General features: G+C 42.7%; 1 protein-coding gene across 2 annotated transcripts; it reads left to right on the forward strand.

The window, feature by feature from the left end:
* Window positions 1-4,987: 4,987 nt before the first annotated feature.
* LEUTX (leucine twenty homeobox) lies at window positions 4,988-14,826 on the forward strand. 2 transcript variants are annotated; one of them, NM_001143832.2, is made up of 3 exons: window positions 4,988-5,210; window positions 13,062-13,213; window positions 14,233-14,826. In NM_001143832.2, exons 2-3 carry the CDS (start codon window positions 13,145-13,147, stop codon window positions 14,668-14,670), a joined length of 507 nt encoding a protein of 168 aa, NP_001137304.1. In that variant the 5' UTR covers window positions 4,988-5,210; window positions 13,062-13,144; the 3' UTR covers window positions 14,671-14,826. The 2 variants fall into 2 exon arrangements, with proteins under 2 accessions (NP_001137304.1, NP_001369274.1); NM_001382345.1 differs by lacking the exon at window positions 4,988-5,210 and adding an exon at window positions 7,389-7,462.
* The last annotated feature ends 9,397 nt before the right edge of the window (window positions 14,827-24,223 follow it).

The raw sequence follows: 24,223 nt of genomic DNA on the forward strand, positions 1-24,223 counted from the left end.
CTGCTTTGGCCTTCCAAAATGCTGGGATTACAGGCATGAACCACCATACCCAGCCCCATGGACCACTGTTCTTTAGAAAAACAAGTTCATTAACCCTGCAAGTAGCCCCAGGAGTTAGGATATGAAGTTAGCCAATTACTCGTGACTCCCTCTACCAAAATGGCTATGTGAAAGCCAGCATGCATGGAGGAAGACGGGAAAATAAGGAAAACAAATCTCTCACGATTTTCATAATGCAGGCTCGGTTACAAACCCAGAAGGCAGAATGCAGTCAATGACTTGGTGATATGGGGGTACAGAAGACCACTCCCATACCTCAAAGAGCCACTGTGAGGTGCAGTTCAACCTCCAGTGCTTCTCCCTGGAATTAGACTAAGCTACATCCAGCTGAGACCACATTCCAGCTCAGCTCCCTTTGCTGTATTTCAGTTTTCTCACATCTCTATTTCTGGAAGCTCTGTTTCAATAAATCACTTGAACAAGAATCCCTGTCTGAGGCTGTGCTTCAGGAATCTAATCTGTAACACCATCTCTCCAAGGGAGAACATTTACCTTGTTAGTCTCAGTCCAGAAGGAAACCTTGTTATTTCAGGCCACCTGTGTTGCAAATCCCTTCAGTCTCTCACCCAGGGCATTGCATTTGAATTTCAATGCTAAATCAGATGTATCTTTCTTCAATATTCTGTATATGAAGGTTCACAGGGAAGAAACTCATACAGATCATTTGATAATACTGTCAAGCAAAAGTTGTAGAAGGCCATTGTTTTGGACTGAGCTCCTATACTAGGCCCAACGGACCAGACCAAACCAAAATAAAGTCACTCATGCTAAATGCCACATTATCCAACTGAAACTTTAAGATGGCAGAAAAATCCCCAAACAGATCAGTTTTTCCTGACAATAGGAGATCCCACTTTACCTCAGTCAGTGTAAGAAGGAAGTCCCCTCTGCTTTAACCCTTATTTAAAAAGTAACCGGAAGTAATTTGACATGAACCAATCAGCTTTTTTTCCTATTTTTCTGTTTCCTTTTTCCCACCTTACAAAATTCACTGTTCTGCCACTGGCCAGTGGGAGCTCTCATTCTATTTCATAGAATGAAGGATGAATAAAAGGATTCATGAATTACGAATAAAAGCCAATAAGATCTTTATCTAAATGTGCTGTAATTTTGTCTTTCAACATGATTTGCCTTAAACTGATATTCCTCACACTTATTTTCATCCACATACAACTTCTTATCATATCTTATCCTAAAGTATCTTATCCTAAAGTATAATGAATACCACAGACTGGACAATTTTTAATGAAAAGAAACTTACTGCTTACAGTTATGGAGGCTGGGAAGTACAAGGTCAAGGGGCTCACATATGGGGAGGGTCTTCTTGTTTCATCAGCCCACGGTAGAAGGCAGAAGAAAGGGAAGGAAAGAGAGAGAGAAAGAGAGAGAGAGAGAGACACTCGATGTTATAACAAACTCACTCCCGAGATACTGAGATAATGACATTAATCCATTAATCCAGTCAGGCAAGCCGAGCTCTCCTAACCTAATCACCTTTGATTAGGCCCCATCTCCCAACACTGTTGCATTAGGGATTAACTTTTCAACCCATGAACTTTGGAGAACATATTCAAAGCATAACAAGAAGGGAAAACTAGTTTGCTTTTTAAATACATGTTGATGCACGTAGCACACATCTGGACACCAGGCAACATTTTTCTAAGGAGCCTCCTACTCATCAATTCTTCTCTACCCCACCCATGACAAACATATTGCCACTTTCTATAAGTGGCATTAATAGGAATGTGAATTATGAGTGCAGAGGTACCCAGCAATTCTAAATGGAAGGACCATGACACACATCAATAAGAACAAGATAGAATGACAACCTGGCTTAACAAGATGCCGTGACTTTATAAACCTATAGTAATTTAAGGCATATGAGATATACAAGTCTTAAGCTCAGAGGAGAGGCTGATGACAATTACACCACTACAGTTAAAGACTGCAAACTTTAGCCGGGCGCGGTGGCTCATGCCTGTAATCCCAGCACTTTGGGAGGCCGAGGCGGGCAGATCATGAGGTCAGGAGTTCGAGACCATCCTGGCCAATATGGTGAAACCCTGTCTCTACTGAAAATACAGAAATTAGCCGGGCGTTGTGGGGGGCGCCTGTAGTCCCAGCTACTCGTTAGATTCAGACAGAAGAATCGCTTGAACCCGGGAGGCGGAGGTTGCAGTGAGTTGAGATCATGCCACTGCACTCCGGCCTGGGCAACAGACAGAGACTCCATCTCAAAAAAAAAAAAAAAAAAAAGACTGCAAACTTTGGCATCAGGCTGGCTGGATTCAAAGCCTGATTTTGCCACTTGTTAGCCCATGAATAGTAACAAGATGCTTAAATTCTCTGTGCTTGAAAGTTTTCATCTGTAAACTAGAGATAATATTAGGACTTGCATCACAGGGTTTCTGTGAAGATCAAAAGAAATATGTGAAAATCACCTTAGCGTTAGAACTGTGCCTTGCACAAAGTAAACACTCAGTAAATATTAACTCTTATTATAGAAGAGTGTGTGTTATCTCCTCAACTAGATAAAATAATCATAGAATGATGGTTTCAGAGTTGTGAGGCCATTTAATGCAATTAGATTTTATAAATCTAATCTGTACAAGTAGACTTGTGAAATAAATCTGGAATGCCTGCTAAATTTTATTGAAAGCAATCGCGTGTTTAATGGTGCATAATATATCAAAGTACATGCATATTTAATGCTCAAAAGACATTATCTGCTTCTAGAGTGGATTAACATTTCAGGCAGTGAGAATGGGGGTTTATTACTTTAATCTAAATAGGGATTAAGTTGATTAGATTCAGAGTTTGGTTGATTTAAGTACTGATTGGTACACCTGTTCGTGTAGGGCACAGTCCTTTCATCGCTCCCACTAAAAGTTTAACACGGGAACTAAGCTATGAGGATGCAAAAGGATAAGGATGATACAATGGACTTTGGGGAATTGGGGGAAAAGGCAGGAGGATGAGGGATAAAAGACCACACATTGGGTACAGTGGACACTGCTGCAGTGATGGGTGCACCAAAATCTCAGAAATCACCACCAAAGAATGTATTCTTGTAACGAAAAACCACCTGCTCCCCAAAAACCTATTGAAACAAATATTTAAACATAAATAAATAGGCCGGGCACAGTGGCTCACACCTGTAATCACAGCACTTTGGGAGGCTGAGGTGGGTGGATCACCTGAGGTCAGGAGTTTGCTACCAGCCTGGCCAACATGGCGAAACCCAGTCTCTACTAAAAACACAAAAAACTAGCTGGGCGTCTTGGCAGACACCTGTAGTCCCAGCTACCTGGGGGGCTAAGGCAGGAAAATCTCTTGAACCCAGGAGGTGGAGGTTGCAGTGAGCCAAGATCACGCCACTGCACTCCAGCCTGGGTGAAAGGGTGAAACTCCACCTCAAAAAAACAAATTTAATTAATTGAATAAATAAATACATAGACTTTGAATAATCATCATCCAAAAAGAAAATTAAATTAAAAGGATTTCCCTTTGAGGGAGCTATCTGTGAAAGGAAATTGCTTAATACAGGTGAGCACAAAAAGAGAAAGCACCCTCTTATTTCATATTTTATTTTTCAACTTGTTAAAGATTATATTTTCGAGCTACTCTCCTAAACTAGAAACCCACCAGCTCTAACTTAGTATTCTTCTCCAGGACAAAGGGTGTCATTTGTAAGGAATGACAAGATCTACAGGGAATGCTAAAATGATAAATTTAATACATCAGTGTGACTTAGTTAAAGCAAAATCTTCCAGAGTCTCAAACTTTGCGTGTTATTTTCTGGTAGCTCCTGAAAGCAGTCTGAGAAGAATACAACAGAAAAGATGAAGAATTGTTTTAAAACAAAAATTCAAAGTAATAATAATAAATAAAAGCCTAATATTCCCTCTCGCACTTGGCAGGCACCAACCTACCATTTTTGTACATTCAGCTCCACAAGACTGTTAGGTTCTACTCTGCCATCTCTTAAAAGTTAGCATCTAATTCACAGTACTATTTAAATTTCCCCAGTTGTCCAAAAGCATGTCCTTTATAGCTGTTTTAAAATCCATCATCCAATCAGATTTCATGCCTTTCATTGTTATGCTTCTTTAGTCTCCTTTGTCACCATGCCTATAGACTCAGGGGCTGAGGCGGGAGGCTTGCTTGAGCCCAGGAGGTCAAAGCTGCAGTGAGCTGAGATGGTGCCACTGCACTCCAGCATGGGTGACAGAGTGAGACCCTGTCTCAAAAAAAAAAAAAAAAACCTCTGTATTCTATAAATATAATATGTACAATTATTCCATGTCAATTAAAAATAAAAGAGAAAAAAGTCTTTATAATCCATGTATATGAAGTTCAAAAGCTGGCATTACTGATCTGCGATGACATAGTCAGGCAAGTTGGTACCATTGCATAGGCAGAGATGGAAAGAAGCTTGTGGGATGCTGGAAATATTCTGTTTCTGGATCTGGGTGCTGGCTACATGGGGGCTTAAAATCGCTGGTGTTACACTAATCACTCATGAACTTTTCTGCATGTATGTGCAACTTAGAATAAGAAAATGGAATTACGGTTCACATGCTAGGCATGCCTGGATCAGGCTAGTGGACAGCATCCTGTACCACCGTGTCCCATCCTAAGTGCTGTAGAAACATGTTCCTAATACTTCAGTGCATGCCAAAATAGGCAAATATTTTATTTACATTTGAAATCTCACAGTAGCAAGGTCAACTACAGCCACTTTCCCCCAGGGAGAGTCCAATATTTTATTCATGTCTCCTAAACTCTTATAATGAGCAACTACCATGGGCCAGGTCCTGTGCAGGGCTCTGAGGATCACAGGGAAAGACCCACAACCTCCCTCATGGAGACCAACATTCCCAGAAAACCCACGCAAATAAACATAGCGAGGTATGGTGAAGCTCCGGGAGTGCTGCCGCACCACACAGAAGTTCTGACCTGGCCTGGGGCGTATGAGAGAAGCCTTTGATGAGAAAGTAGGGAATGAGGCCTCTGAAAGTAAGGGGAGGGTGTGCTCCAAACAAATGCAACAAAAAGAGAAACTGTAACTGCACACGGTTTTCAGCCTCATGCCTCCGTGGAACCTGCCTGTCAGGCGGGCACCTGGAATCTCAAGCAACTTTCTCAAGGTGAGGCGATTTTTTTCTTTCATTTCTCAAGTAGCTTGTGGTAAGAAAAGTGAGCTGAGACTGGGTGCAGTTGCTCATTCCTGTAGTCCCAGCTGCTTGGGAGGCTGAGGCGGGAGGATCCCTTGAGCCTGGGAGGCGGAGGTTGCACTGAGCCGAGATCACACCACTGCCTGGGTGATAGAGCGAGACCCCATCTCAAAAAAAGAAAGAAAAAAGGGAAAGAAAGTGAACTGAGTGTTCTGTGTCTCCCAAGGCCCCTTGAATGGCTTTGTCCTTCACTTGGAATAAAATTCAAACTTCTTCACCTTGCCCCGACCTTGGTTGGCCTTTCCAGTTTGAGCTTTTCCCGATATTCCTCTCCCACAACACACCTCAACTACAGTGGCCTCTTATCTGCACCTCAGACATGAAAAGGTTTTTCATGTCTCTGGGCCTTTGCACTTGATGTTCCCTTTGCTTAGAACACTCTTCCCTCTCCTTCAGTGAAAATGATACTTCCTCAGAGACATCTTACCTTACCTTAAAACTACTGCACATCCTCTGAATCAGTGCTGTTGGTGGCATTCATAACACCAGTAGTATCATAATCAGAACTGCGTATTGTCTTGTTTCCTTTTTTATTTCCTGCTTCCCTCCCTAGAATGCCAGCACTTGGGAAGGCGGCAGTGAGTTCTATTTTTGTAAATCCCAATTTCCTAGTCACTGGAACAAATCTTAGCAGAGCAGGCATTCAAATAATTAAGCAAACAAATGAAGAAGTGTCAGGGGTGTTTTAACGTTAAGTTCTGCAAAATTCCCTGCTATTGGGGAGGTCATACCCTTTGAATATATCACTCTCTTTCCATCCTCATTAGTGTCATAGGGCAACTCCAGGGACTGATTCTAACATTTAAACGGAAAATTTGAGGCCCACTTTATCCTTTCCGATAGGATTTGGGAGTTTCTACCCTTGACTGTGTTAGAAGTGTTCCTGAATTTTATTCCTGTAAAAGACATAGATGGGGCCAGGTGCAATGGCTCACTAGCACTTTGGCAGGCCAAGGCTGGACGATCTCTTGAGCCCAGGAGTTGAAGGCTGCAGTGAGCTATGATGGCACCACTGCACTCTAGTCTGGGCAACAGAGTGAGACCCTAAAACAAAACGTAAAAAGATACAGATGGGTCCTTCAATCATTTGGCCTTCAGGCTACCTGCAATGTTCCCAGAGACAGAGTTCTTTCGCTAGTCCAAGACTTTTCCAAACCAACCTGGTGGGGGTGTGGAGGTTGCGGGAGAGGACAGAGTTGAGGGGTAGTATAAGATGGGCCAAGACCAGAGTCCCATCTCTGCTTCAGAAAGCTTGGGTCCACATTGAGTGTGGGGAGGCCATATCTCATGGATAGAGACTAGATCTGTCTAGTGAATTACACTCACCCCACAAATAAGACCCATCATGGAGAAGAACGTTAGGGGGAGGAATAAATAAATGAGTTAATAAGGTGCCTGAAAGGTGGAGTAAATGAGTAACAGAGGGACAGAGAGAGGGATGCTCAGAGGAAAGAAAGAAGCATGATTCTTTTAATGCAATTTATATTTTAAGTTTCCTTGCTGAAAACTCGTTATGGGCTCCCCAGCTGCCCCCAAATCCATACTCAAGAGAAGATACAAGATCCCCTATGGTTTAGGCTCTGCCAAGTTCTTCACTGTCATCCATTGCTGTCTCAACTGGAAGAGGTTGAACCGAGATGGGCGGGTGAAGGGCTTAACTCCCATCATCCCAAACTCCTAGCAGGATGCCTCCTGCTGCACTCCGGGTCTCACTGGAAGCCGTCCACGCACAGGGCACCTCCTTCACCTTCCAGTTTGAATCATCTTACCAACTTATTTTTCTCTCAGCGCCTTGTTTATTTACTCATTGATCCCAAGTGACATTTTTGAACATTTTATCCATTTTCAGTTCGCTCCACTTTCTTTTGTTTTCTTCCACTCTCTGGAGTCAAGGATCAGTCTTTTTTTTTTTTTTTTTTTTTAAACATAGTTTTATTCCCAGTGCCCTACACAGCATCAGGCATATAATAGGTTCTAAATAAACAGATATTGAATGGATTATTGGAGGGCGTGGTATTAGGGTAGGACAGGGTGGGGACATGATTACATTAAAATTCTGCTTAAATAAGCGGGTCTTTTAGCCCAGCAGTCACATAGACTCAGCTCAGGAGCTCTGCAGCACACAGCTGATCGAACCCACTCATTTCTAGAGGACACCATGTTTGGTAAGTTGGGCGAAGGCAAGAGGCTGGGGTTTCAGTGATTGGGTTGCAGACAAATCAAGTGAGAGGTGTGGGACCTTGTGGTGGCTTCTTAGAAACCACTGGGTAAATTTAGAAACCACTGGGTTATACCAACAAGGATTGTTTGAAAAACACTTTGCAAGGGATTCTAGTAACTTAGGAATTTGTTTCTCCACATCTCTTTTTTAAAGAGATGGGGTCTTGGTATGTTGCCCAGGCTGGCCTCGAGCTCCTAGGCCCTAGTGATCCTCCCACCTCACCCTCAGGAGTAGCTGGGACTTATAAGTGTGTGCCACCATGTCCCGCTAATTTTTAAATTTTTTGTAGAGACAGGATCTCACTCTGTTGCCTAAGGTCGTCTTGAACTCACATCCTTTTTAATGCCTGGTAACTTTCATACTTTTTAAATGTCAGTCCATTGATGGGTATAAAATAGTATGTGATCTTTAATTCCCATTTCTTTACTAACCCGTGTGATTGAATCTGTTCACTCTATTTTAAAGGCCATTCTGTTTTTCCCCTATGCTAATTTTTATATTTATATCATTTCCCAGTTTTTAGTATGTTTTTTTTCTTGAGGCTTAGTAGAATATTTTTGTTGTCTTCTAGACACTAATAATTTATCTCTTATATGTGTTGCAAATATATTCTCCCAGCCTGGCTTGTGTTTTTCAATTTACTTATGAGTACCGTTGTACAAATATTCTAAAAGTTGTCATTGTGATATTTATCAACATTTTCCTTTTATAATTGTACTTGTAAAACGTAGTTTAGAAGTATATTACTGGCTGGGCATGGTGGCTCACACCTGTAATTCCAACACTTTCAGATGCCAAGGCAGGCGGATCTCTTGAGGCCAGGAGTTCAAGACCAGCCTGGACAACATGGCAAAACCCTGTCACTACTAAAAATACAAAAATTAGCCAGGCATGGTGGCATGTGCCTGTGGTTCCAGCTACTTGGGAGGCTGAGACACAAGAATTGCTTGAACCTGGGAGGCAGAGGTTGCAGCAATCTGAGATTGCACCGCTGTACTCCAGCTTGGGCAACAGAGCAAGACTCTGTCTCAAAAACAAAAAAAGTGTATTTCTTGGCTGGGGACATAAATGTAATTTTAGTTACATTTTATTTTAACTTCTTAAAATGATTTGATTCTAATAGAAAAATTATGCATCAACAAGCTCACTTATCAAAACTTGTACCTGGCTCTTCTAATACATTTTCCTATTGTTTAATACTAAACTTACAAAAATACTAATTAGTCGATTTTACATATTGACCTCTCAGCTTGGTAGATGATTTTAAACTCAAAGCCACATCCTTCCTCGATTTTACCTCCTATAACTTATCAATGTGCAGTGTTGCTTTTCTAAAGACCAGTAGAATTCTAATTACCATTCCTTTGATGGAAATTCTACTTCCCTTTAGAAGCTTCTGGAAATTTCTATATATTCCTGGTATTCTGATATTTTTGCAACAACGATCCTTTTGTTCATTTATTGTGCTCATCGTGGAATGTCTTCATTCTGGAAACCCCTGTGCCTCATCTCTCAAATCTTGAATTTTTTTTAATAAATACTTTCATGATACTCTCTGAAACATTTTTTAGTCAGAGATATTTTTAGTCACATAAATATTGCTAGTGCTGGACATCCCTGAGCAGAGATCTTATTTTTTTCCGACCTTTTCACTCTTTTTGTCCACTTTTGTATACTTTTTCTACTTCCTGGAATAGCTTTGTCTTCCAACTCTTCTATTATTGCCTAAGGGTTTCTTTTTAGCTACTGATTTCAAAGAACATTTGTCTTATCAGATTTTCCTTTCTTTTCAAGACTTTCTTGATGTATGAGTGCAATATCTTTTATCCGAGCATATTAATTTTAACATTTATAGATTTTCTTTTTTTTTGTAATTTTTTTCTAATTGTTTTATATTTTTAGTAGAGATGGGGTTTCACCATGTTGGCCAGGCTGGTTTTGAACTCCTGATCTCAAGTGATTCACCCTCCCTGGCCTCCCAAAGTGCTAGTATTACAGGCATGAGCCACCGTGCCCAGCCTTATTTCTTTTCTTAAGAAAAAATGTGGTTATTTGCTGCTTTCCTCCTCTTCTTTCTTTTTCTCTTCCACTTTCCCTTTCTTTTTTCTCTCTTTCTCTCTGTCTCTCCCTCTCTCCCTTTCTTGCTGTCCCCTTCCTGTTTGAGAATTTTTCTTCAATGTCCTGTAAATTTTTGTTCTCCCTTTGTGTCTAAACAAATGCTGAGACACTAAGAGAAACCCATGTGCCCGATCACTTGTCTTCACTGTGCGATAATTGGGCAGCATGTTGGCTTCTGTTTTTCCATGTATTTGCATGAGGAATAAGAGCATCCTGAAAATAGAAACTTTCCTATAAAATAGATGACCATGAGAATCAGGTTTTACTAGATGATGAGGTCTTATTTATATTCTAAACCATAGTAAAAACTCCCATTATGCACTAATACAGTTTGCATATTTGTCCCCTCCAAATCTCATGTTGAAATGTGATCCCCAGTGTTGGAGGTGGGCCTGGTGGAAGGGGTTTGGATCATGAGAGCAGATCCCTCTGAATGGCTTAGTGCCATCCTCATGGTAATGAGTGGGTTCTCTATCTCTAAGTTCACCTGAGATCTGGTTGTTTAAAAGAGTCTGGGACCTTCCCCTGCTGTCTCTTGCTCCCACTCTCACCATGTAACACCTTGGCTCCCCTTCGCCTTCTGTCATGAGTGGAAGCTTCCTAAGGCCCTCACCAGAAGCAGATGCCAGCACTATGCTTTGTGTATAGCCTGCAGAGCTGTGAACCAATTAATTCCTCTTTTCTAATTTACCCAGTTTTAGGTAATTCTTTATAAATGCAAAATGGACTAACACATGCACCAAGCCTGTAATTAACAGACTTGCTTCTTTGGTTACTCACATCTTCCCTAAAGGAGTGAGCTTTCTGGGACCATGTTATTGTTAAAGATACGGAGGCAAACAGTATAAGTGTACTGATGCTGCCAAAGTCACAGAGCTAGTAAATGAGAGAATCGACATTCATTCTTAGGTCACTAAGCTTCATATCTCCTTCCCTACAGACCCCATTAATAAATGGCCAAACCAATAGCTTCAGGGTCTCACAAGCCAATCAACATAGACAGCAGTGCCACTGAGTCTATGACCGGTTAGGATAATAGGGCCTCAAATACTCTTATGAATCTTATAGACTCATATAAACCTGGTGTCAACATCATGCCACTATTCTATTCTATCTCAATAAGGACTCACCCAAATCTCATCTTGAATTGTAGCTCCCATAATTCCCATGCGTTGTGGGAAGGATCCGGTGGGAGATAACTGAATCATGGGGCGGTTTCCCCCATACGGTGCTCATGGTAATGAATAAGTCTCATAAGATCTGATGGTTTTATAAGAGGTTTCCCCTTTTGCTTAGGTCTCATTCCCTCTCTTGCTTGCCACCACGTAAGATGTGGCTTTGCTCCTCCTTGCTTTCCACCATGATTGTGAGGCCTCCCCAGCCATGTGGAACTGTGAGTCCATTAAACTTCTTTCCTTTATAAATTACCCAGTTTCAGGTATGTCTTTATTAGCAGCATGAGAAACAGAAAGATGTCCCCAAGTTGCTAGGAAAACATATTGGTGCCCAATGTCATGGAGAGGTTGATGTTCCTCCTCCAGGGGCTGTAGGATGAGGCCACCAAAATAAGCTTATCCCATCTGTGGCTTAAAAACATGTCCTGCTCAGTGGAAGTTGGCACTGATTTTCTAGGAATGCAGAACACTCCCAGCAAGAGAGTGAGGAGTGGGTCTCGTGAGTCAAATGTTTAGCCTAAGCTCTTGATTCACAGGTCAAGCTTAGGAAAGAAGCTTACCTTTGGAATATACATATTTGCATTCTAATAAAACATTTTTAAATTTTTTTTTGTATTTTCGTAGGCTATTGGGGAACAAGTGGTGTTTGGTTACATGAGTAAGTTCTTTAGTGGTGATTTGTGAGATTTTGGTGCACCCACCAACCGAGCAGCATACACTGCACCATATTTGTAGTCTTTTATCCCTCACCCCCTTCCCACCCTTTCCCCCGAATCCCCAAAGTCCATTGTGTCATTCTTATGCCCTTACATCCTCATAGCTTAGCTCCCACTTATGAGTGTGAACATATGATGTTTGGTTTTCCATTCCTGAGTTACTTCACTTAGAATAATGGTCTCCAATCTAATCCAGGTTGTTACAAATATCATTAATTCATTTTTATGGCTGAGTGGCATTCCATCATATAATTTATATATATATAAATTATATATATATAAATTATAATATTTGTATTATATATAATTATATACAATATAATTTATATACATTATACATAAATTATTATATATATATACATATATATATATACACACACACACACACACACCACAGCTTATCCACTCAATTGATGGACATTTGGGTTGGTTCCACATTTTTACAATTGCGAATTGTACTGCTATAAACATACATGTGCAAGTATCTTTTTTGTATAATGACTTATTTTCCTCTGGGTAGATAGCCAGTAGTTGGATTGCTGGATCGAATGGTAGTTCTACTTATAGTTCTTGAAGGAATCTTTACACTGTTTTCCATAGTGGCTGTACTAGTTTACACTGCCACCAGCAGTGTAGAAGTGTTGCCTGTTCACTGCATCCACGCCAACATCTATTTTTTTTTATTTTTTTTATTATGGCCATTCTTGTGGTTTCGATTTGCATTTCCCTAATCATTTGTGATGTTGAGCATTTTTTCATGTTTGTTGGCCATTTGTATATCTTTTGAGAATTATCTATTCATGTCATTCATGTCCTTAGCCCACTTTTTGATGGAATTGTTTGGTTTTTTTCTTGCTAATTTGTTTGAGTTCGTTGCAGATTCTGGATATTAGTCATTTGTCAAATGTATAGATTGTGAAGATTTTCTTCTAGACTGTGGGTTGTCTAGAACTCTGCTGTTCCTTTTGCCATGCAAAATCTCTTTAGTTTAATAAAGTCCTAGCTATTTATCTTTGTTTTTATTGCATTTGCTTTTGGGTTCTTGGTCATTGTGTTGCTGTCTATCTCATTTCTTAGGTCTAGTGGATAAAAGGGCGTCCATTGTCTCCTAAAGTTTTTATTATTTTTTATTTATGCTCTCTATTTCACTGAAGATTTCTCCCCTCATTTCTTGTATCTTTTTTTTTAATTTCCTTAAATTGGGCTTCACTTTTCTCTGGTGCCTCCTTGATTAGCTTAATAACTGACCTTCAGAATTCTTTTTCAGGTATATCACGGATTTCTTCTTGGTTTGGATCCATTGCTGATGAACTAATGTGATTTTTTGGGGATGTTAAAGAACCTTGTGTTGTCATATTACCAGATTTGGTTTTCTGGTTCCTTCTCATTTGTGTAGGCTCTGTCAGAGGGACGGTCTAGGGCTCAAGGCTGTTGTTCAGATTCTTTTGTCCCACAGGTGTTCCCTTGATGTAGTACTCTCCTCATTTCCTTCCGAATTTTTTTAATGAAAGCCTTTTATCTGTTCCCTCTGCAGAAGGGCCAAGGCGTTATCGTCGGCCACGCACAAGATTTCTCTCCAAACAACTCACAGCATTGAGAGAATTGCTTGAAAAGACCATGCACCCAAGTTTGGCTACAATGGGGAAACTGGCTTCAAAGCTACAACTTGATCTATCCGTAGTAAAGGTCTGTTCCCAAGTGTGTCTGTAGGTAGCACGCCTAACCCAGAGCTTCACACACACTTTTGATCATTGTTATAACAGTTCCTATTTATTGGCAATTGCTATGTGTAAGGACAGATGTTAAGCACTTTATATTTTTATTGTCATGAGCACCCACTTTATTGAGGAACACTAAAGCTCACATAGAAGAGCTGTCTTCCAAGCATTATAAACACAAGAGTTGGAATTTGAACCCAGACCTTTCCAACTCCAGACCCACCATGCTACACAGGACTCTTTGAGGCTGGATCTCAGATACTCCCATTTGGGTCTGTTCTTGTGTATTCAGGATGGGTTCTGCTTAATCAGGACCATCACAGTCATCCAGATGCCTGTCACTAAGTTCCCACAAAGTATTCATGGGAGAACACCTGGATGAACCCTAAAGATGACCCAAGCTAAACTCTCACCCCATACTCTGACTTTAAAATACTTTCTCTGGGCACCAGGAATGGTGGCTCACACTTGTAATCCCAGCACTTTGGGAGGTGGAGGCAGGAGGATCGCTTAAGCCCAGTTTAAGACCAGCCTGGGCAACATAGCAAGACCATGTCTTTACAAACAAAAATTAAAAATTAACCAGACATGGAGGCACATGGCTGTAGTCCCAGCTACTTGGGAGACTGAGATAGGAGGATTGCTTAAGCCCAGGAGTTCAAGGCTGCAGCGAGCTATGATTGCAGCACTGCACTCCAGGCTGGGTGACAGAGTGGTAGCTTGTCTCAAAAAAAAAAAATACACCACTAATAAAAACACCCTTCTATTTAATACATCACAATCTAGGTCATATTCCACCCATTGCTAGTACAATCCTACACCCACTTTTCCCTTGAAACCCAGGACAGCAGAGAGTAGAAAGGGCTTCCCTTGTTCCAATAAATGTGAGACTCTCTCTCACACCAAAAAACCGAATTCCTGAGGAACATGAGGATGCCCCTTTATACTCAACATCCATTATTAACCTCCCCCCTCCTCCCTCCTTAGATCTGGTTCAAGAACCAGCGTGCCAAATGGAAGAGGCAGCAGCGGCAGCAAATGCAGACACGGCCATCACTAGGGCCAGCAAACCAGACAACTTCAGTGAAGAAGGAGGAGACTCCCTCAGCCATAACTACTGCAAACATTCGTCCAGTAAGTCCTGGAATCTCTGATGCAAATGACCATGATCTACGTGAGCCTTCTGGTATCAAGAATCCTGGAGGAGCCAGCGCCTCTGCGAGGGTTTCATCCTGGGATTCTCAGTCATATGACATTGAACAGATATGTCTGGGGGCTTCAAATCCTCCTTGGGCCTCCACTCTCTTTGAAATAGATGAATTTGTAAAGATCTATGACTTGCCAGGGGAAGATGACACCAGCAGCCTAAATCAATATCTTTTTCCAGTATGCCTTGAGTATGACCAGCTCCAATCTTCAGTGTAACTTCTTACACATCACTTCTAGGGGAGGTCTGGATCTGACCCACTGAGACATATTTCCACACATCTTTAATGGTTTGACCCCAGTCTAAGTAGATCAGGGGCTGGGAATTTATCTTTTTCTGTAGAAAAAACAATAAAGGAACTCCCCTACCTTTCATCATTGCCTGCATTTTCTGAACTCCATTTGAGTGCCTCCTCACCCAAATTTCAGCATTAAAGATTGTATTCAGAGAAGTGACGCCAGGAACACAGTGACATAGGAGGTTCCTGATTGATGGACTGAATAAACGTCTGTGCCTACATCAGTTCTCTCTGGAAGAAAGTCAGAAGTGAGTGGAGAGACTCCTACACACCAGGCAACTAAGAAAATGTCTTAGCAGGCCAGTCGCGGTGGCTCACGCCTGTAATTCCAGCACTTTGGGAGGCCAAGGTGGGTGGATCACGAGGTCAGGAGATCAAGACCATCCCGGCTAACATGGTGAAACGCTGTCTCTACTAAAAATACAAAAAATTAGCTGGGTGTGGTGGTGGGCACCTGTAGTCCCAGCTGCTTGGGAGGCTGAGGCAAGAGAATTGCTTGAACCCGGGAGGCGGAGGTTGCGTGAGCCAAGATTGCACCACTGCACTCCAGCCTGGGCGACAGAGTAAGACTCCATCTCAAAAAAAAAAAAAAAGAAAAGGAAGAAAAGACAAGAAAAAAAATGTCTTATCAAACAGGCAGCAAAAGCTGAAGCACTCAGAAACACTAAACCCACCCTGGGCACTGAGCCATACAATCAGGAAGGAATCCCCAGTTCCCAGCTTCTCCCCCAGGAGAGAAGCAGTGAACCACACATATAGCACCCTAACAGTTGATGGTTAAGTTCCTAACGAGCCTGCATCAGGGAGTTGACTAGGTAGGTAAACTACAGACTTACAAGAGCCTGAACAGAAGCTAGGTGCCACCCAAAGCTTCACCCCAGCTCAGCCCAGCAATAAATCCAGGTCTATCAATTCCTCCTGGAAGAAGTTTGTCCACACATTGAGCACCCCAACTTTTATACCTGCACTCAAGGGACTGCATCCTAAATCCCCTAGCTCTGGAAATGGAAGGGATTAGGCATATGTGAGTCTCCCTAGCTCACAGAGAAAAAGGTGGTTTTAAGCAGGCACACAAGCACTTCAGGGCTAGCCTTCCTCCACCACACTCCCCCAACCAGAGCAGTGCAGAGAAGGGGTCAAAATGTACAGCTCCCAGTTACTCCTCAAAAAGGATTTGCCAGCACACTCTTCCAGCTGCTGCTTGATAGTCATGCTTTTAACCAGCCTGTATCTGGAAGTCAACAGGGCAGACAAATGCTGGATCCTTGGGAGCCTGAATGGGAGTTCAGACACTGTCCAAGCCTTTTGCCCTTGCTTGCTCTAGTGGTAAGTCTACAGACTCTCCCTGGAAGGAGTTTTTCCATGCAGTGAGCACCCAAATTTTTGCAGCTTCCACGGCATCCTAAATCACCTATCTCTGGGAACTGAAGGGATTTGACATTCACTAGTCTCCCTAGATCACAGCAAAGAGGTGATTTTAAACTGATGCACAAGCATTTCCAGGAGATGAGAATAGTCCCAGGGACCTGAGGCTGAACACACCTAGCTGGCCACTACCACCTCAGGTGGCATCTACTTGCATGTGCCACTTACAGGCCTGGAGACTGGCCTGCTCAGCCCGTCACAGCCATCACCAACACTAGCACAAGCTGATTGGGAGCTAGATTGTCCTGCCAATATTACTGCCATTGCCCATGCCACCCTTGCTGCCCAGTGGCCCCAGGAACTACGCACCTACCTGGCCTACGGCTGGCAATGCCAGCACCCAAGAAAGCCACCTGGAAGCCTGGGAATTGGCCTACCTAAACCTGCTAAACCTGTGCCAGCGTACACCACCCTGGGACTCAAGGACAGGCTCACCACTGCCACCACTGGGCCCGAAAACCGGCCCACCTGACATCCCCTATCCCAGAAAAGCTTCACAGCCTCCACCAACAACTGCACCTTAAGCCACGGAGGAAATAACACTACTGATGTTGCTTACAGCCAAATAAATCATACAGAGACTATACCTGGATAAAGAATTCAAAATAATGATATTAAAGAAGCTCAGTGAGATACAAAAGAACTCAGAAAAATAATACAAACAAATCAGAAAAACAATTCAGGATATGAATGAGAAATTTACCAAAGAGATAGATATAAAAAAGAACCAAACAAATTCTGGAAATGAAGACTTCATTGAATGAAATACAAAATATATTTGAAAGCTTCAACAACAGACTAAATCAAGTAGAAAAAAGAATTTCAGAACTTGAAGCCATATCTTTTGAAATAACCCAGGAAGACAAAAATAAAAAAGAATTTAAAAAGAATGATAAAAGCCTTCATGACATATGATACCATAAAGCAACCAAATTTTCAAATTACTGGGGTCCCAGAAGGCAAAGAGAGAGAAAAGGGTAAGAAAGTATTTAATAAAATAATAGGCCAGGCACAGTGGCTCACGCCTGTAATCTCAGCACTTTGGGAGGCCGAGGAGGGTGGAGCACCTGAGGTCAAGAGTTCAAGACCAGCCTGGCCAACATGGTGAAACCTGGTCTCTACTAAAAATACAAAAATTAGCTGGGTGTGGTGGTGCACACCTGTAGTCCCAACTACTTGGGAGGCTGAGGCAGGATAATTGCTTGAACCAAGGAGGCGGAGGTTGCAGTGAGCCGAGATCACGCCACTGCACTCCAGCCTGGCAACAGAGCGAGACTCCATCTAAAAACAACAACAAAAAGTGTGATTTATACACAATGGAGTACTATTTGGCCATTAAAAAATAATTTAAAAAAATGAAATCCTGTCATTTGCAACATAGATGAGCCTAAAGGACATTATGTTAAATGAAATAAACCAAACACAGAAAGACAAATACCACATGATCTCATACACATGTGGAATCCTAAAAGGTGGATCTGACACCTTACTTACACCTTACTCCTGCAAGAATGGCCATAATCAAAAAATAACAAAATCAAAGATCAAAAAATCAAAAAATAATAGGTGTTGTGCATGTGTGAAAAGGGAACACGTTTACACCGTTGGTGGGAATGTAAACTAGTACAACCACTGGAGAAAACAGTGGAGATTCCTTAAGGAGCAAAAAGTAGATTTACCATTTGATCCAGCAATCCCACTACTGGGTATCTACTTAGAGGAAAATAAGTCATTATACAAAAGAGATACTTGCACACACATGTTTATAGCAACACAATTCACAATTACAATAATATAGAACCAGCCCAAATGCCCATCAATCAACAAGTGGATAAAGGAAATGTGAGATATATATATATATATATATCGCACATACCATGGAATACTATTCAGCCATAAAAAGGGAATGAAATAATGGCATTTGCAGCAACCTGGATGAGATTAGAGACCATTATTTTAAGTGAGGTAACTCAGGAATGGAAAACCAAACATCATACTTTCTCACTCATAAGTGGGAGCTAAGCTATGAAGATCCAAAGGCATAAGAATGACACAATGGACTTTGGGGATTCAGGGGAAAGAATGGGATGGAGGTGAGGGATAAAAGACTACATATTGGGTACAATGTACACTGCTTGGGTGATGGGTGCACCAGAATCTCAGAAATTGCCACTTAGGAAATTATTCATGTAACCAAACACCACCTGTTCCCCCAAAAACCTACTGAAATAAAATAATAAAAATAAATAAGGCTGGGCGCAGTGGCTCACGCCTGTAATCTCAGCACTTTGGGAGGTCAAGGCGGGTGGATCACCTGAGGTCAGGAGTTCGAGATCAGCCTGGCCAACATGGTGAAACCTCATCTCTACTAAAAATACAAAAAAAAATTAGCTGGGCATGGTGGCGGGCGCCTGTAATCCTAGCTACCCAGGAGGCTAAAGCAAGAGAATCACTTGAACCCGGAAGGCAGAGGTTGCAGTGAGCCAAGATCGCACCATTGCACTCCAGCCTGGGCGACAAGAGGGAAACTCCGTCTCAATAAATAAATAAATAAATAAATAATAAATAATTTAAAAAAATTGAAAAAATAAATACATTTTTTAAAGTGGACCTCATAGAAGTAGAGAGTAGAATGGCGGTTAAAGGAATCTGGGGTCATTGGGGGTAAAGGGGAGTTGGGAAGACACTGGTCAAAGGATGCATAATTACATTTAGATAGAAGGAATAAGTTCAAGAGATCTATTGGACAGCATGATGACTATAATTAATGGTGATATATTGCATTCTTGAAAAATGCTAAGAGAGTAGATGTTAGGTGTTCTCACCACAAAAAAATAGATGATAACTATGTGAGGTAACACATTTCTTTAAATTAGCTGATTTGGCCAGGTGCAGTGGCTCACAACTGTAATCCCACCACTTTGGGAGGCTGAGGCAGGAGGATCACCTGAGGTGGAGAGTTCGAAGACCAGCCTGACCAACATGGAGAAACCCTATCTCTACTAAAAATACAAAATTAGCCAGGCATGGTGTCACATGCCTGTAATCCCAGCTAGTCAGGAGGTTGAGGCAGGAGAATCACTTGAACCCTGGAGGCGGAGGTTGCAGTGAGCCGAGATTGCGCCATTGCACTCCAGCTGGGGCAACAAGAGTGAAACTCCATCTCAAAAAATAAATAAATAAATAAATAAGCTAGATTTAACCATTCCACAATGTATACATATTTCAAAACATTATATTGTACAAGATAAAGTCATACAATTTTAAAAAACAAATAAATTTAGAACAAAATGATAGGGAAAGGTATTAGGGGCTGAGTGGTATATGGGAACTGCGTACTACCTGCTCAATTTTCTGTAAGCCTCAAACTGCTTCAAAAAATAATGTCTATTGCCAGGCGCAGTGGCTTACGCCTGTAATCCCAGCACTTTGGGAGGCTGAGGTGGTTTGGTCACCTGAGGTCAGAAGTTCAAACCAGCCTGACCAACATGGTGAAACCCCATCTCTACTAAAAATACAAAATTAGCCGGGCATGGTGGTGCATGTCTGTAATCCCAGCTACTTGGGAGGCTGAGGCAGGAGAATCGCTTGATGCTAGGAGGCAGAGGTTGCAGTGAGCCAAGATCGCACCATTGCACTCCAGCCTGGACAACAAGAGTGAAACTCCATCTCAAAAAAAATTATAATAATAATGTCTTAATTTTAAAAAAAAAATGTCTAGCTCGGCCGGGCGCCGTGGCTCATGTCTGTAATCCCAGCACTTTGGGAGGCAGAGATGGGCAGATCATGAGGTCAGGAGTTCGAGACCAGCCTGACCAATATGATGAAACCCTGTCTCTACTTAAAAAAAAAAAAAATTAGCCAGGTGTGGTGGCATGCGCCTGTAGTCCCAGCTACTCAGGAGGCTGAGACAGAAGAATCGCTTTAACCTGGGAGGCAGAGGTTGCAGTGAGCCAAGATCGTGCCACCGCACTACAGCCTGGGTGGCAGAGCGAGACTCTGTCTCAAAAAAAAAAAAAAAATGTCTAGCTTGATCTTAAAGGAATGAATGATTCCCTAAGAGAACTTAGTGAGGGCTGGAGCCCTTGAGTTCCACCAGCCAATCCCAGGAGTTAGCTGTAAAAGTCACTACTCACCTTTGCAAAATTCAACTTGATCAGGTACCTCTCCTTTAGTTTCAGGAAGAAGAAGCAAGAACCTTTAAATAATTAATAAGTAAGTGACTGATGTGAAGAAACGCTGAGGCTCTAAAGCTGGATGGAACAGAGACTGGACTATTCTCTGACCATCTAAGTCTATGCAGCTATAAACAAGAAGGTAAAGCTGCAGGGGCTGACCTGGAGGCCTCAAGATGTATCGATAAACCAGGATGGTAGCAGCTGCGGAACTGTGAGGTGCAGCGGTCCCCAATGTTTTTGGCACCAGGAACTGGTTTCGTGGAAGAAAATTTTTCCACAGACGGCAGCGGTGGGGTGGGTGGGTTGGGGTGGGGGATTGTTTGGGGAAAATTCAAGCATAATACATTTATTGTGCACTTTATTTCTATTATTATTACATTATAATATATCATCAAATAAGTATACAACTCACCATAATGTCAAATCTAATGGGAGCCCTGAACTTGTTTTCCTGCAACTAGATGGTCCCATCTGGGGGTGATGGGAGACAGTGACAGATCATCAGGCATTCGATTCTCATAAGGAGCATGCAACCTAGATCCCTCGAATGCGCAGTTCACAATAGAGTTTGCGCTCCTGTGAGAATCTAGTGCCCAAGCTGACCTGACAGGAGGCGGAGCTCAGGCTGTAATGCCAGCGATGGGGAGTGGCTGCAAATATAGATGAAGCTTTGCTGGCTGGCCCGCTGCTCACCTCCTGCTGTGGCGGTCTGGTTCCTAACAGGCCACCATGGGTACCCGTCTGTGGGGGTGGGGAGCGGGGGTGTTGGGGACCCCTGGTATAGAGTGCTCTCTTGTAACCCACCCATCCTCTGAGTGCAGATTTGCAAATACAACCACGTTCTCTAGAAGGGACCCTATGAGCTGGAGGATAAGACCACAGCCTGGAGTTTTGCTTTTGACTTTCGTAATGTTTAGGCATTTTTTATGGTGAGCATAGCTTACTTCTGAAATTTAATAAACGACTGTATTAAGCGGTGAAATAGTGAGTACACGGTTGTTTACTTTGTTATTCTGTTTGCATGAACATTTAAGAAAAATAAAACATTGAGAATTGTTGGTGGCAGGTGTGGTGGGAGCTTTTTAAAACAACAACAACAACAAAAGCTGTTCCCTACATGTAACAGGGATGTCTGTCTTCGGAGGAATTGGTGAGCTGCATCTCACCCCCCGGTGAAGCAAGGGGTCGTGGTGGTGGAACTTGACTGGGAAGTGGGAACTGATCCTGGGGAGCAATCCCAGAAGCCTGGGGCTAAGCCATGTCCTGAGAGTTTGGGAAATGAATGTATTAAGCAGCCCAGATGCCTAACTCCAGGGTCACCACCAGCCTTTGAGCTCCAGGGGGCGCTCCGCGAACATCCCATGAAAGCGCGCGGGGCGCTTGGGATGATGTTTGCAGGGGAACTGAGCCAGGCTGTGGTCCTCTGTGCCATCTCCTGCCGGTGGGCAGCACTCCTGTTGTGCACAGGGACCCCTGTTTCCTAGGTCCACAAACTGGTCGGGAAACACGAGTTGACCCGGCCGCCCCAACCTGCTTTCTAACAAGAGGTTCTGTCCAAGTTCCCCGCTCGACTTTCAATATGTCACTCAGCGCTTAAGCCTCACCCCTTATCCTTGATGTCCAATCAGGAGCGAGGGTTGGATCCCCAGGGGCCTGGGGAGGCAGAGGGTTCTTTTTTTTTTTTTTTAAACCTAAAAATTTAAATGAAGATGAAAATGGAAGATTCTTCATGGAAGTTTTAATGGCAACAATTAGTCTACGAAAAAATAGGAAGTCTGAATGGACCAATAACCAAAGAACTTACAAAGGAAGTAAAAGATCTAAGAAAGTCCTAGAAGGTTTTATGGGCAAATTCTGCTATACATTCCGACAAATCGTAATTGTACTGTCTCCTTAATTTTTCTGTAAATCTAAAACCATTCTAAAATAAAAAATTTATTTTAAAAATGTATCCAATCCCCCTCGTCCAAACCTTTGAAATGCTAAAGATTTCTTTTAAAACCCTCAATATCTCTGATTATTTTGTTAAGGTTTTTGTTTAAGACTATCTATTGAAGGCAGGGCACGGTGGCTCACACCTGTAATACCAGCACTTTGGAAGGCCAAGGCTGGAGGATCACCTGAGGTCAGGAGTTCGACACCACTCTGGCCAACATGGTGAAACCCTGTCTCTACTAAAAATACAAAAATTAGCCAGGCGTGGTGGCCCTCGCCTGTAATACCAGCTCAGCTACTCAGGAGGCTGAGGTGGGAGAATCGCTTGAACCTGGGAGGCGGAGGTTGCAGTAAGCCGAGATCGCACCACTGCACTCCAGCTTAGGCGAGAGAGGGAGACTCCTCTGTCTCAAAAAAAAAAAAAAAAAAAAGAGAGAGAGAGAGCATCTATTGAAGAGTGAGTTTTCTTACAATGCCCAAAGCAACTGTCTCCTTCTTTCCCTGGCCCTCTCCATGTCTGTATTCACATAGAGTCTACATAATGGGCAAATTGTGATTAACAACTTTGTCTCCTGCCTTTAAAAAAAAATCCTAAAATCCTATCATACTCCAGGCCGTCTCCACGTCTGCTTAATGAACTGTCTTAATTTTTATTTATTTATTTATTTATTTATTTATTTATTTATTTATTTATTGAGACAGAGTCTCGCTCTGTTGCCAGGCTGGAGTGCAGTGGCGTGATCTTGGCTCACTGCGATCTGCGCCTCCCGGGTTCAAGTGATTCTCCCACTTCAGCCTCCCGAATAGCTGGGATTACAGGCACGCGCCGCCACACCCAGCTAATTTTTGTATTTTTGGTAGAGACGGGGTTTCACCATGTTGGCAAGATGGTCTCGATTACCTGACCTCGTGATCCACCCGCCTCTGCCTCCCAAAGTGCTGGGATTAACAGGCATGGGTCACTGTGCCCGGCCGAACTGTCTTAATTTTTGAGAGTAGGTTTATTACACTGCTCGATGGACAAAAAAATTGGGCACTCTTCTAAAGCTCAGGGGAAAGGGTGCCAAGAGAGGAGTCCCAGGGAAGAGATGTTCAGAGAACATCATACCACCCCACCTGCTCTCTTTTTTTTTTTTTTCTTCAGGAAATGAGGTCTCATTATGTTTCTCAGGCTGGCCTCGAACTCCTGGCTGCAAGCCATCCTCCCTCCTCAGCCTCCTGAGTAGCTGGGATTCCAGCTGTGAGCCACCACGCCTGGCTTGACTTTTATAATGCCTTCTCCTTTGACAGTTTGAAGCCTCTTGGTTAAAGCAAAGGGGGACCTGGAGGGTGACTTCAGTGGGAAGCGGGAAGAGTGACTGGAAACTGGTCCCTTCTGCTGCATGTCTCAGTGTAAGTGTCAAGAAGTGCTGGGGTAACGTTAGCCACTTCCTCTCTGCAACCAGCCCCCAGGCGCTTCACTTCTCTCTTTCCTCCACCTGAGATGACACAGTTGTGGTTAAGGCCCTGGACCAAGAGGTTAGCCTAAATGAGAGTCCCATCTCTGCAACTTCTACCTGGATGAATTTGAGCAAGTGATTCACCTCTCTGAGCTTCGGTTTCCTCATCTGGGAAATTGAGATAATAACAGTTAATGTCTACATCATAAAGTTGTTGTGATAACTAAATAAAAACGTCATGATAATTAAATAAATTAAAATGTGGCCCGGGCGCGGTGGCTCACGCCTGTAATCCCAGCACTTTGGGAGGCCAAGGCGGGCGGATCACGAGGTCAGGAGATCGAGACCACGGTGAAACCCCATCTCTACTAAAAATACAAAAAAATAGCCGGGCGTGGTAGCAGGCGCCTGCAGTCCCAGCTACTCGGGAGGCTGAGGCAGGAGAATGGCGTGAACCCGGGAGGCTGAGCTTGCAGTGAGCGGAGATCGCGCCACT

Source organism: Homo sapiens, chromosome 19, assembly GCF_000001405.40.
Source record: "Homo sapiens chromosome 19, GRCh38.p14 Primary Assembly".
NCBI classification, from domain to species: domain Eukaryota; kingdom Metazoa; phylum Chordata; class Mammalia; order Primates; family Hominidae; genus Homo; species Homo sapiens.